This window comes from Homo sapiens, chromosome 1 (assembly GCF_000001405.40).
Source record: "Homo sapiens chromosome 1, GRCh38.p14 Primary Assembly".
Taxonomy (NCBI): Eukaryota; Metazoa; Chordata; class Mammalia; order Primates; family Hominidae; genus Homo; species Homo sapiens.
In genome coordinates this window covers 102646811-102661037 of record NC_000001.11, presented here as the reverse complement: position 1 = coordinate 102661037, position 14227 = coordinate 102646811, and the positions used below count along the sequence as shown (strand labels likewise).

The following is a 14227-nucleotide window of genomic DNA, read 5'->3' as shown; positions in this document are numbered from 1 at the left end:
TTGGTCAGGCTGGTCTCGAACTCCTGACCTGAAGTGATCCGCCCACCTCGGCCTCCCAAAATACTGAGATTACAGTCGTGAGCCACCACGCCTGGCCAAGAATAATTCTATTGAGTAACAGAAAATCTCTGGACAAGAAGAGGGGACCCAAAGTGGGCAGCCCTCCGTGGGAGAGGAGGCCGGAAAGCAGGTAGCAGCCACCTGTGAGGCTGAGTCCAGGGTTTATATGTGCTCAGAATGGAGGAGTGCATGCTGATTGGTCCTTGGGCAGGTCTGGAAAAAGCACCATTTGATTGGCTAAAAGGCATCCAGGAAGTAAAGAAGTTCTTACTCCGGTGACGGGCTCCACCCAAAACTGGTAGGTCAGTTTTCAGGTTTCAGACTGTCTGTGGCTTGAAGTTTGGGTTTTACCCGGCACTGTCCCGTTCTACCAAGGAATTTATCTGTCCCCTCTTGCTATTGAGAGGTGACAGCGTGCTGGCAGTCCTCAGAGCCCTCGCTCGCTCTCGGTGCCTCCTCTGCCTGGGCTCCCACTTTGGCGGCACTTGAGGAGCCCTTCAGCCCACCGCTGCACTGTGGGAGCCCCTTTATGGGCTGGCCAAGGCCGGAGCCGGCTCCCTCAGCTTGCGGGGAGGTGTGGAGGGAGAGGCGCCAGCGGGAACCGGGGCTGCACGCGGCGCTTGCGAGCCAGCTGGAGTTCCGGGTGGGCGTTGGCTTGGCGGGTCCTGCACTCGGAGCAGCCGGCCGGCCCTGCCGGCCCCAGGCAATGAGGGGCTTAGCACCCGGGCCAGCGGCTGCGGAGGGTGTACTGGGTGCCCCAGCAGTGCCGGCCCACCGGCGCTGCGCTCGATTTCTCGCCGGGCCTTAGCTGCCTTCCCGCGGGGCACGGCTGAGGATCCGCAGCCCGCCATGCCTGAGCCTCCCACCCCCTCCGTGGGCTCTTGTGCGGCCCGAGCCTCCCCGACGAGCGCCGCCCCCTGCTCCAGGGCGCCCAGTCCCATCCACCATCCAAAGGGGCTGAGGAGTGCCAGCACATGGCGCGGGACTGGCAGGTAGCTCCACCTGCAGACCGGGCGCGGAACCCACTGGGTGAAGCCAGCTGGGCTCCTGAGTCTGGTGAGGATGTGGAGAACCTTTACGTCTAGCTCAGGGATTGTAAATACACCAATTGGCATTCTGTATCTAGCTCAAGGTTTGTAAACATAGCAGTCACTACCGTGTGTCTAGCTCTGGGTTTGTGAATGCACCAGTCGATACTGTATCTAGCTACTCTGGTGGGGCCTTGGAGAAACTTTATGTCTAGCTCAAGGATTGTAAATACACCAATTGGCACTCTGTATCTAGCTCAAGGTTTGTAAACACACCAATCAGCACCCTGTGTCTAGCTCAGGGTTTGTGAATGCACCAATCGACACTCTGTATCTAGCTACTCTGGTGGGGCCTTGGAGAACCTTTGTGTCCACACTCTCTATCTAGCTAATCTGGTGGGGACGTGGAGAACCTTTGTGTCTAGCTCCGGGATTGTAAACGCACCAATCAGCGCTCTGTCAAAACAGACCACTGGGCTCTACCAATCAGCAGGATGTGGGTGGGGCCAGATAAGAGAATAAAAGCAGGCTGCCCGAGCTAGCAGTGGCAACCCGCTAGGGTATCCTTCCCTACTGTGGAAGCTTTGTTCTTTCGTTCTTTGCAATAAATCCTGCTGCTGCTCACTGTTTGGGTCCACACTGCCTTTATGAGCTGTTAAACTCACCCCGAAGGTCTGCAGCTTCACTGCTGAGGCCAGCGAGACCACGAACCCACCGGGAGGAACGAACAACTCCAGACGCGCCGCCTTAAGAGCTGTAACACTCACCGCCAAGGTCTGCAGCTTCACTCCTGAGCCAGGGAGACCACGAACCCACCAGAAGGAAGAAACTCCGAGCACATCCTAACATCAGAAGGAACAAACTCCAGAGGCGCCACCTTAGGAGCTGTAACACTCACAGGGAGGGTGGGCGGCTTCATTCTTGAAGTCAGTGAGACCAAGAACCCACCAATTCTGGACATACTATCACCTTTCTTTTATTCATGTCTTGTACCTTTTAGAAATCTTTTCAGTTTAGCATGGGGGTTCCTGATTTTGTTTGAATGTTTTGTGGATGTTCCAAAATTTATATAGCTAATGCTTTATTGATGAATTTTAATTTCCTATATTGTATTCTGATTTATTTTATTTATTTGTTTTATTTTTTTGAGACAGAGTCTCACTCTGTTGCTCAGGCTGGAGTGCAGTGGCACAATCTCAGCTCACGGCAACCTCCACCTCCTGGGTTTAAGTGATTCTCATGCGTCGGCCTCCCAAGTAGGTGGGACTAGAGGTGCACACCACCACACCAGGCTAATTTTTCTGTTTTTACTAGAGACAGGGTTTTACCATGTTGGCCAGGCTGGTCTCGAACTCCTGGCCTCAAGTGAGCCGCCTGCTTCAGCCTCCCAAAGTGCTGGGATTACAGGTGTGAGGCACTGCGCCTGGCTGTATTGTGATTAATTTTAAGAATAATCATTTTGTACATATTATTTTGCCTGTATGTAGGTATATCTCTAAGAAAAAGTCCTCAGCATACATTTTTCTAATTATGAGTGAAGATGAACGATTTTAAAATGTGTAAATACCATCCTAATTTACCCCCACACGTATGTGTGTGTGAATTATCCATTCGCTGTCCTTGACTCACATTTTCTCCTTGTTAGATTTTCTCTTTACAATTTTTAGTGAGATTTTATACATTAAAAAAATTAGTCGTTTTCGATATGTTACATTTTTCTCATTTTTAAGTCTATATTTTGTTTGTTTTTCTGTTCTGAGGTTTTCAGGTTTTAAAAATAAACTACATCATGGTGTAATTTAGTTACAGTAAAAATGAAGTAACTAAGTGTACAGTTAAATGAATTTTTATAAAATGAATAATTGCCACAATAATCAAGATATAGAATATTTTATTTAATACAGAAAGTTCCTTCTGCCCTTTCCAGAAAATATTTCTGCCTCTTATTCGGGGCAACATGGATCTGTTTTCACTCACTATATATTAGTTTTATCTGTTCTAGAATATCCTATAAATGGAATAATATTGTATATACATTTTTATGTATGGCTCCTTTTGATCAACATAATGCTTTTAAGATTCATTTGCCTTGTATATATTAGTAGACTTTTGTTTTTATTTTTATTTTTGTTTTCACTTTTTATTACCAAGTATTGTTTCGTTCTGTGTATGCCAAGTGTGTTTATCCATTCACATGCTGAGTGTTCCCCAGATTGTAAGTAATATGAATAAAGCTCTTTACATGAACATTTATGTAAAGTTGTAATGTGGGCATGTGTTTTCATTTCTTCCAGGTAAGTATCTAAGGGTATTATTCATGTGTCATATAGTAAGTATATTTTAATTTTCTAGGAAAGTATCAACAGTTTCTAAAATAGTTGAACCATATTACACATTGATATGTCAGACTCTTTGGGAGGTTAATTTTAGACATTTAAATAGGTATGTAGTGATATCTTACTTGTTTTTAATTTGCATTTACACAATGACTTTAATGTTGCTCATCTTTTATGTACTTACTGGTTATTCATATATCTTCTTATGTAACATTTTCATTCAAGTTTTTTGTCCATTTTTAAATTAATTACTTCTTATCGAGATGTAGTAGCTCTTTATTTTTCCTGTATGCAAGTCCTATTTCACGTGTGTGTATTGCCAATAAATTGGCTTGATTTTTTATTTTCCTGTCAATATTTTTTTAAAAGTAGAGATTTCCATTTTGATAAAGTCCACTTTATTATTTTCTTTTATGCTTTTTGCCTTTTATGTCATGTTTAACCTCTCTTTGTTGACTTCTATAGGAAAGGGAAGACTCTTTCTGAGGGTTTGATAACTGAGGATGAAATAAACAGTCATCAGGCAAATTAACAGGAGAAAAAGTATAAAAATATATTATGTGCATGAAGGAATCTCAGGAAAGAAAGGTAAATACCCCCAAAACCCAGTAAGATCTTGAAACCTGTACACCCACTTTATAGGAAAGGGATAGTAGAAGCAGGCAACTTAGAGGAGAGAAAAAGATGTTTTGGAAAGATGAATGAGCCCTCAGAAGATCAAGTAATGATCTATGACAGTCTTTCTGGTCCTGCTGCTGACCTCCAGACTCTGCTTCTGTGATAGGAATTAATCTTCCCTGGTTGATGAGACTCCCAGGGAGGGGACTTATGACAATTGTGGTCCTTTTGGAGAATCTATCTTTAGGCAAATAAGGAAAATTCAGAGAAGGCTCCCTCCCTTTTCCCAAATTTGCTGTTCTCGGAGTGCTTTCAGTTTGAATTAATCAGCATACCAAAAAGGCACAGTTTGGTGCAGCATTTCTTGCACTCCTTCACTTCAAAGTCATGAACAAATTTCTCCTATATTTATTTCTCTCTATTGTTGTTTTGTAGGTATATATTTTTAATTTATAGAAATGTATTATTTATTTATTACTATTTTCATGAGCTTCTCTAATTTTAGTACTTACTCATGTTATTATGCACATGTCTGTCTCATTGCTGTGATTGTTTACTACTTTAGGAAGTGCCTCCACCAGTAAGAAGTATTTACCAATGAGAAGAGTGTCTGTGTACTCATACTAGACTATAATTTTTTTTTTCAGATCTACAAACATCTATCTCTAGTGGACTAGATGGAGCCCCACATATACTGTTACAGTGTTATTCTCACAGCCCTTCTAAAAGAAGTAAAAAGCCTTAGACACCTATCCCTTTCTACCTATAACACTCAGAGCCAGGCCAATACTATCTATTTTAAAAACTAGCATAAATGATCTTATGATCTCCTTCATTCCTAATTCTATCACTCACCAGAAGAATCCACACATTCCTACGGTACTGTCTCATATCTTGCCTTTCAATTTCCACTTGTCTCCTTCCATCCTTTCTTCTGTCCCCATCTTACATACTCCTCATTTATGGAAATTTCCCTTCCCCCTTTGAAAAACAATTATTTTAAGAAAAAAACAACTGGACAACAGCAGAAAGCCCCATATCCTCATCCCCTTCTCTAAGCATTTACTTTCTTGAACCAGCCAAAACTTTAATATCTTCTTGAGATACTAATTTTCTTGTCCTTTTTAAAGAGTGGGTAATTTTTTATCCTGTAATCATGAACCTAGATGCAAGCAAGGGGTCTTTCTTGCTTCACAGTTCTGATACCAGAAAGGGTGATCCAGACCCCAAGAGAGGACTCTTGGCTCTTGCACAAGAAGGAATTCAGGGCGAGTCCATAGAGTAAAGTGAAAGTAAGTTTATTAAGAAAGGAAAGAAATAAAGAATGGCTACTCCATAGGCAGAGCAGACCCAAGGGCTGCTTGCTGGCTATTTTTATGATTATTTCTGGATTATATGCTTAACAAGGGGTGGATTACTCGTGAGTTTTCCAGGAAAGGGGTGGACAATTCAAGGAACTGAGGGTTCCTCCCCTTTTTTAGACCGAATAGGGTAACTTCCAGATGTCATGGCATCTGTAAACTGTCATGGCACTGGTCAGAATGTCTTTTCACATGGTAATGTATTATAATTCATGTATAATGAGTAGCGAAGACCACGACAAGTCACTTCCGTCGCCATCTTAGTTTTAGTGCGATTTGGCCACTTATTTACCACATGCTGTTTTATCAGCAAGGTCTTTGTGACCTATGTCTTGTGCTGATCTCCTGTCTTATCCTGTGATTTAGAATGCCTATCCTTCTGGGAATGCAGCCCAGTATATCTCAGCCTTATTTTAATCACCACCTATTCAAGATGGAGTAGCTCTGGTTCAAACGTCTCTTACATTTCCACTTCCAAACTGTCCTCTCTTCCTCTTCCGCAAATACTCGAAGCACTGAAATTTTGCTCATAAAACTATGTAACTACTGCCAATTCTTTTTAGTGATCTGTGCACATCCAGGTCATCTCTCTTTTCTATCCACAGTTTTATCTCCTGTCTTAGTATCATATTCTATAACATTACAGCAATCTTAATTTCTGAGATTCCTGTATTCATAATGAGGGCCACACCAACATCTTGGCTCATGTTTCTTTGAACTTCTTTCCTCCAATATTCATGTCCTATTCTTGTCCTTATTCTTGTCTTCATACCTATTTTAGCCAGTTACCCACTGAACATATCCCTAGATCCTGCTGTTATCAATATCTTTAACCCTTCCATGTACTCAATTTCAATGATCCCCTTACCAGTTCAGCACATTCTTTCTTATAGCTAACCCTTTCAGGTACAAGACTCCAACAGTCTTTCAACCACAATGGACTTCCAATCCAATAATCTTAAAGCCTCATCATTGACTTAACTCCCTCCTTATTGAGAAAAGTTCCATAGTCCAACATTGTAACCACTCCCTAACACGTATCTTTAATTCTTTCTCACCTTTCTCACTTTCTTGTAACTTCAACTTGATTAAATTTTATTCTCACCTTGCAAATTTTATTCATCCTCTGCCTGAGAGTCTTAGAATGCTCTTCCATTGGATATCTATAAGCATTGCTCTTTTGTTTCTATAAGACTTTATAAAATGTTATTTCCATAAGATCTTCTTATTCCACTGTTTAAGTAAGGCAGTACTCCTTCCTTCTCGAGTTTTCTATTATCTCCATCTCCTTGTTCTGCTGTATTTTCCTCCATTAAAGTTAATAACAAAATAAAAGTTATTACTTTCTAAAATGCTACATATCTTACATATTTATTTTCTTTATTAGTTATTCTTTGTTTTCTACACTCTCACACACAGGATAGAATATGAGTTCTAGGTCCCCTTGTATATATATATATATATATTTTTTTTTTTTTTTCCACTGAGGTATTTTCAGTTTCTAGAACAAGTCTTGGTTCATAGAAGTAACTTAATGAATATTTTTAAAATGTGTTAAATGAATGAATGAACAAAAACAAATTGCCTCCAATAACTGTTGCTTGTGGCACAGGTAGCCATAACACGAACACAGTTGTGCCTTTCTGTTTTCCAAGGTTGAAGTAACTCCTAAATGAAAGAGTTTGTACTAAAATCCCAATAATATATGTAAAATCTATAGTTCTTTTCCCTACTATTTTGCCTTAGGAACGATTTTATTTCATTTGATGATTAACTGTGAAAATGTATTTTCTCCAGAATTTTCTGTATGTTGGACTTTTATCAAAATGTTACTACCACATACACATTTATTATAAATAGAGTAGAGAGACTGAACAAGAAAACTTGTGACTCCAGATCTCCAATTTTCTATAAAAGGAATGGATAATGAGATGAAATAATACCATGTATTCTTAGATTACTTTAGAAAAGCAGAGACAATTTTGTGAAATAAAATTTATGTATGTTCTTTCCTAGGTAATATGATTTGCTATTATTGCCCTATTGAGATTTTAATAAGCTCTTGGAAGGAAAGAAAGTTTGGTTTTAAATTAAAAAGAGTGCTATTTGTCTATGTTCTACAGCAAGGTACTCTGCTGCAGCAATTCACTTTGTTACACAATGTTCACCACAATACAAACCACTATTACAGATATAATACCCAGATGATACAAGGCACAGTAAACCAGGAGGTTTAATGTTTTTGATCCCATGCATGTCAATTTCTGCTTCATATTTTCACCTATTATGTGGTGTATCTATGTGTAATTATACAGCTGGTAGTGTTTTGATTTAGGTTTAACATAATTTCATATTAATTTTGTAAATTTCTCTCCTGATTGCTAATTAAAACATGCCAGTGATTACCCTGAAAGATATTAAGTCAGCATGAGGTGGTCAAATATTTCTTTGGAAACTCAAAATATTCATTTGTGCTAACCTAGGTGACTCAGGTACCACCAAATTTATTATTTTCTTATCAGTCCTAAAAACCTTTATAGAATGTGAAAAAAATCATATACAGTTTCTAAAACTTTTGCAGATGTTCATCTTTCTGGCAGCAGTTTCTTCCTGCACAAATTGAAAATGCTATTTAATTTTAAAAGGCAATATAAACAGACTCCAAAAAATATGTTCTCTTAATCATATAGAAGGGAAAGCTGGTAGTGTTTTTATCAAGTCTCATTTTACTCCTTGGTTACTAAATGTAGCTAAGATGACAAATTGATTTCTATACTGTAAAAACAAAATATTAACACACTTTTTTCCCCATAAGGTGGATTAGTTCTAGGTATTAAAATTTCAAGACATCAAGTTCAGGATACTTAAGTATCATTTGAGATAAATAGACATCTTTGGAAAATAGACAAATCAAATTTATAATTTTCTCTGAGTTTCAAGAAAAATTTAATTTTGGTAATCTCAGACTAAATAAATTAATATTGCTACAAGAATTGAAGAATTGGGTCAAATTTAACTTACAGTTCTGTTGATCATTGACTAATAATTCTTAAAGTATCCTTAACCATGTGGGAGGCTAAATAATAACGCTCAAAGGTCTCCAGGTCCTAGTCTCTGGAACCTGTGAATGTTACCTTAAATGGCAAAGAGAGACTTAACCAGATATGATTAAGCTAAGGATCTTGAGATGGGTAGATTTTTCTGTATCATTCAGGTAGACATTGAATGCAGTCACAGATGTCCTTATAAGACAAAGGCAAAGACAGATTTGAAACAGATAAGATGGTCACATGGCTGAAGTAGAGAGAAGCAGATGAGGCAGAGGGGAGCAGAGTCAGAGAGAGGTGAGACTCTGCTGGCTAGGTGCGAGAAGTCATGAGCCAAGGAATGCAAGTGATGCAACTTCAGAATCTGAAAATGAGAAGGAAGCACACTTCCCGAGAGCCTCTGGAGAGAGTGCGGCCCTGCTGACACTTTGATTTTAGCTCAATGCAACTGATTTCAGGTTTCTTATCTCTAGAGTATAAGAGAACGAATGTGTGTAGTTTTAAGCCACCACATTTGTGGAAATTTGTTACAGAACCCCTTAGGTAACTAATGCAAAAAAAGTGCCTGAAACACAAGAGGAAGATATAAAAGGCATTCAAATAGGAAGAGAGGAAGTCAAATTGTCTCTGTTTGCAGATGACATGATTGTATATTTAGAAAACCCCATCTTCTCAGCCCAAAAAATTCTTAAGCTGATAGGCGACTTCAGCAAAGTCTCAGGACACAAAATCAATGTGCAAAAATCACAAGCATTCATATACACCAATAATAGAGAGCCAAATCATAAGTGAACTCCCATTCATAATTTCTACAAAGGGAATAAAATACCTAGGAATACAACTTGCAAGGGTTGTGAAGGACCTCTTCAAGGAGAACTACAAACCACTGCTCAAGGAAATAAGAGAGGACACAAATAAATGGAAAAACATTCCATGCTCATGGATAGGAAGAATCAATATCATAAAAATGGCCATACTGCCCAAAGTAATTTATAGATTCAATGCTATGCTCATCAAGCTGCCATTGAGTTTCTTCACAGAATTAGACAAAACTACTTTAAATTTCATATGGAACCAAAAAAGAGCCCACATAGCCAAGAGAATCCTAAACAAAAAGAACAAAGCTGGAGGCATCATGCTACCTGACTTCAAACTATACTACAAGGCTACAGTAACCAAAACCACTTGGTACTAGTATCAAAATGGATATACAGGCCAATGGAACAGAACGGAGGCCTCATAAATAACACCACACATCTACAACCATCTGATCTTTGACATACCTGACAAAAGCAAGCAATGAGGAAAGGACTCCCTATTTAATAAACGGTGTTGGGAAAAGTGGCTAGCCTTATACAGAAAACTGAAACTATACCCCTTCCTTACACCTTATACAAAAATTAACTCAAGATGGATTAAAAACTTAAATGTAAGACCTAAAACCATAAAATCTCTAGAAGAAAACCTAGGCAATACCATTCAGGATGTAGGTAAAGGCAAAGACTTCATGACTAAAACACCAAAAGCAATGGCAACAAAAGCCAAAATTGACAAATGGGATCTAATTAAACTAAAGAGCTTCTGCACGGCAAAAGAAACTATCATCAGAGTGAACAGGCAACCTACAGAATGGGAGAAAAATTTTGCCGTCTATCCATTTGACAAAGGGCTAATATCCAGAATCTACAAATAACTTAAACAAATTTACAAGAGAAAAACAAACCACCCCATCAAGAAGTGGGCAAAGGATGTGAACAGACACTTCTCAAAAGAAGACATTTATGCAGTCAACAAACATACGAAAAAATGCTCATCATCACTGGTCATTAGAGAAATGCAGATCAAAACCACAATGAGATACCATCTCATGCCAGTTAGAATGGTGATCATTAAAAAGTCAGGAAACAACAGATGCAGAGAAATAGAAATGCTTTTACACTGTTGGTTGGAGTATAAATTAGTTCAACCATTGTGGAAGACAGCGTGGCAAGTCCTCAAGGATCTAAACCAGAAATACCATTTGACACAGCAATCCCATTACTGGGTATATACACAAAGGATTATAAATCATTCTACTATAAAGACACATGCACACATATGTTTTTTTTGCCGCACTGTTCACAATAACAGACTTGGAACCAATCCAAATGTCCACCAATGATAAGCTGGATAGAGAAAATGTGGCACATATATATCGTGGAATACTTATGCAGCCATAAAAAAGGCTGAGTTCATGTCCTTTGCAGGGACATGGATGAAGCCGGAAACCATTATTCTTAGCAAACTATCATAAGAACAGAAAACCAAACACTGCATGTTCTCACTCATAAGTGGGTGTTGAACAATGACAACACATGGACACAGGAAGGGGAACATCACACACTGGGGTCTGTCAGGGGGTGGAGGGGATCTAGGGGAGGGATAGCATTAGGAGAAATGCCTAATGTAGATGACGGGATGATGGGTGCAGCAAACCACCATGGCATGTGTATACTTATGTAACAAACCTGCACATTCTGTGCATGTATCCCAGAAATTAAATAGATATATTTTAAAAAGTGCCTGAAACAGTAGATTTCAGTGTGGAATCAACTGGAACAGGAAGACTAAGTCTGTAATCATAAACAACAGGTGATATGAATACAGATCCATTTTAAGTCTAAATACATGACATAAATTTGAGGAAAAATGTTTTGTTGTTAGGATGTTATGAAATAAAATATAAATATAAAATTTAAACTTTAAAATTTAAAGTTTAATAATTGTATATGTTTAATAATTTAAAATTTAATAATTTTGAACATACACAAAAGTTTGATAATTGTATATGTTCCTGTAAGTTCCTTCTTTTGACAAGAAAAAACATTATATGCACTTTTTTTTTTTTTTTTTTTTGAGACGAAGTCTTGCTCTTGTTGCCCAGGCTGGAGTGCTGTGGTGCGATCTCGGCTCACTGCAAGCTCCGCCTCCTGGGTTCACGGCATTCTCCTGCCTCAGCCTCCCGAGTAGCTGGGACTACAGGCGCCCGCCACCACGCGTGGCTCATTTTTTTGTATTTTTAGTAGACGGGTTTTCACCATGTTAGCCAGGATGGTCTCAATCTCCTGACCTCGTGATCCACCCGCCTCGGTCTCCCAAAGTGCTGAGATTACAGGCGTGAGCCACCGCCCCTGGCCAATATGCACATCTTAAATGCAATTCTATTTCAACTCTATGTTCTCTTTGCCTGTAAGGAGACCTCAATTTTCTTTGGAGCCTATTTCCTAAATCAGATAAATATATTATATAAGAGAGGATATGATTTTAGTGATAACAGCAGTAAAATAAATATGTAATCATTACTTTCCTACACAATCAGGACACTTTCCAACAAGAAATATATTTATTTTTAATGCCACTAGGAAAGACAGCAGCTAGACATTACTGAAGTTTCTCAGTTTGGGGCCCTACTGTCCTTTATTCATAGTGTCCATTCCATACCAACCTCTTGATGTTACATATTTTGGGTACCTGCCAATGGCTGGGCTTTCTGAAACTTGGAATTTTCTTTTTCTATCTGGTTAGACTTGTGAAGGCAACTACCATATTCCCTATGATACAAATAATACCAAATATATTTTTAAAAATTCTCTATGCAATTGACTTCTTATAATTTATATTTCTCCATTTTTTTTGCATGCCCGTGTTACATTTAGTTGCTGTCAAATGTAAGTGATACTTAGTTTTTCTACTGCAATATGGAGAGTTTTGCAGAACGATTTTCACTTTTCAAAAGCCAAATTTTACTACAGAAGGCATTGTAATGACTTTAATTATGGTTTAAATACTTCAGAATTATTTCTAATGGTTGTGGGTATTTCAGAGTAAATAGCAGGAAGTATGTGTAGAATCCTCATGTTGGATAAAGAACTATGACTCTTTTTTAAATGCTTAGTAATAATCAGTAAAAATTATATGCATATATATGTGTGTGTGTGGGGGGGGTAAATTGCCCAGAATTAAAAATAATTTCTTTATCTACCTTATGTTTTCAAGACAATTTTAATAAATCTTTAATGTTACAAATTATCTTCACTTCCATTCAATATATTCATAATTTTATTGTGAAAGTTCCATTTATAAGTCTATTTCGGTATCTAAATGTAAAACTACAGGCATTTACGACTATTTGTTCAACCGAAGAGAAAAATACCCAGAGTACCTGTTCTCATGATGCTTGCACTCTATTCAGGCTAGAGAAACAAGAAAGAAAAAAATGCACTTACTAACAGAAGGATCTAGTAAGCTCCAGACTAAAAAATTTAAGGCACAATTTAATGGGAGCTCAAAGACTTAAATTCTCTCCAAAATTACATTATAATCTTTTGCTTGAGAACATAGATTTGAGGCTCTCAAAATCAACCTTTTATGAAGTAAAATATAATCATGTGACTCGGTTTCATTCACTAAAGAGTGAGCAGAAATTATGTATGCAATCTTCTAATCTAGCCCTTAAAAAAGTGAACAAAACTAAAGCCTACCATACTCTTGTTGTTTTCATCCTCTTTTTATCTTTTCACTAGCAAGGATGGAGAGGACCCCAGTAAGCTTGGAAACCACATATTGAAAATGGTGTCATGGTTCCACTCAGCCTAATACTCTGAGCAAAGATGTGGAGGAGTGTTAAACTGGCATGGTCATCATAGAGTGAACAAAATATAAATGTCTGCTGTGTTTGAGGCACTTACATATCAAGTATGTTTGATGTATCATTGCAGTTACCCAAGGTAGAGGGAGTGGTATTTTATACAGGGTGGTTAAAGAAGCCTCTCTAATAAAGAGAGGCTGAGAGAACTTAATGAAGGGAGAGACTCACTTATGTGTCTATAAAAAGCAGAGTGTTAACTGTCAGAGGGAGAAATTATTGCAAAGAAGTGGAGGCAGGAGTATTTTTGAGAAAGCACAAGGAGGCTAACATTACTGGAACAGTAGACACAGGTGGGAGAAAGTGAGGTCAGAAAAGTACCGTGTGGCCATATCATATTGAGCCTTGAAGGCTGTGATAAACTTTTAGGATTTTATTCTGCATAAGACAGAAAGGCAGAGATATAATACAATCTAATCCTATTTAGAAAATCATGAGTCCTGTGTTGATAATTAAATGTAGGCAGGTGCATGAACAATTTAAAGACCATTATGGTATTCTAATATAAGCACTTACTGTTATAATTTTCTTTCTGAACTCCACTTTAGTTGCATCCCATAAACCTTGATATGTTTGTTTTTCATTTAGTATAATCACAAAAGCAGTATCCTTTGAGACTTTTTCTTAGGTGTAGGCACTACATAGGGTTTTGTTGATTAATTGCTAAATGTCTAAGGGGATATGACAGATGCCTTTATGTCATTGATTTTGGTTTAATCTATAGTTATCTGGGGATGCCCTTTGTATGATATCTATTCCTTTAAATTGTTTAAGATTTGTTTTGTGGCCCAGAATATGGTCAATTTTGGTGCATATTTCATGTATACTTGATAAGAAATCTTATTCTGTTGTTAAGTGGGGTGATGTAGGAATTAGAGTCAAGTTTATAGATAGGTTTTTCAGGTCTGGTAGTTAGATAGGTAGACAGACTTTTCATATCTTAGCAATTTTCTGTCTATTCATTTGATCAATTACTGAAAGATGAAGGTTGAAGTCTCAACTTGATTATGGAGATTTCCTTTTTCCTTTGTATTCTATTAGATTTGCTTCATGTATTTTTGAAGCTCAGCATTTAAGTACATATGTTTTTAGG

At 38.2% G+C, this 14227-nt stretch overlaps 1 long non-coding RNA gene across 1 annotated transcript; it reads left to right on the top strand.

The window, feature by feature from the left end:
- The first annotated feature begins 323 nt into the window (after positions 1-323).
- LOC105378874 (uncharacterized) lies at positions 324-13135 on the top strand. Its single transcript, XR_947651.2, has 3 exons — positions 324-358; positions 3890-4012; positions 13013-13135. It is a non-coding gene; the product is annotated as an uncharacterized LOC105378874 (long non-coding RNA).
- Positions 13136-14227: the final 1092 nt, after the last annotated feature.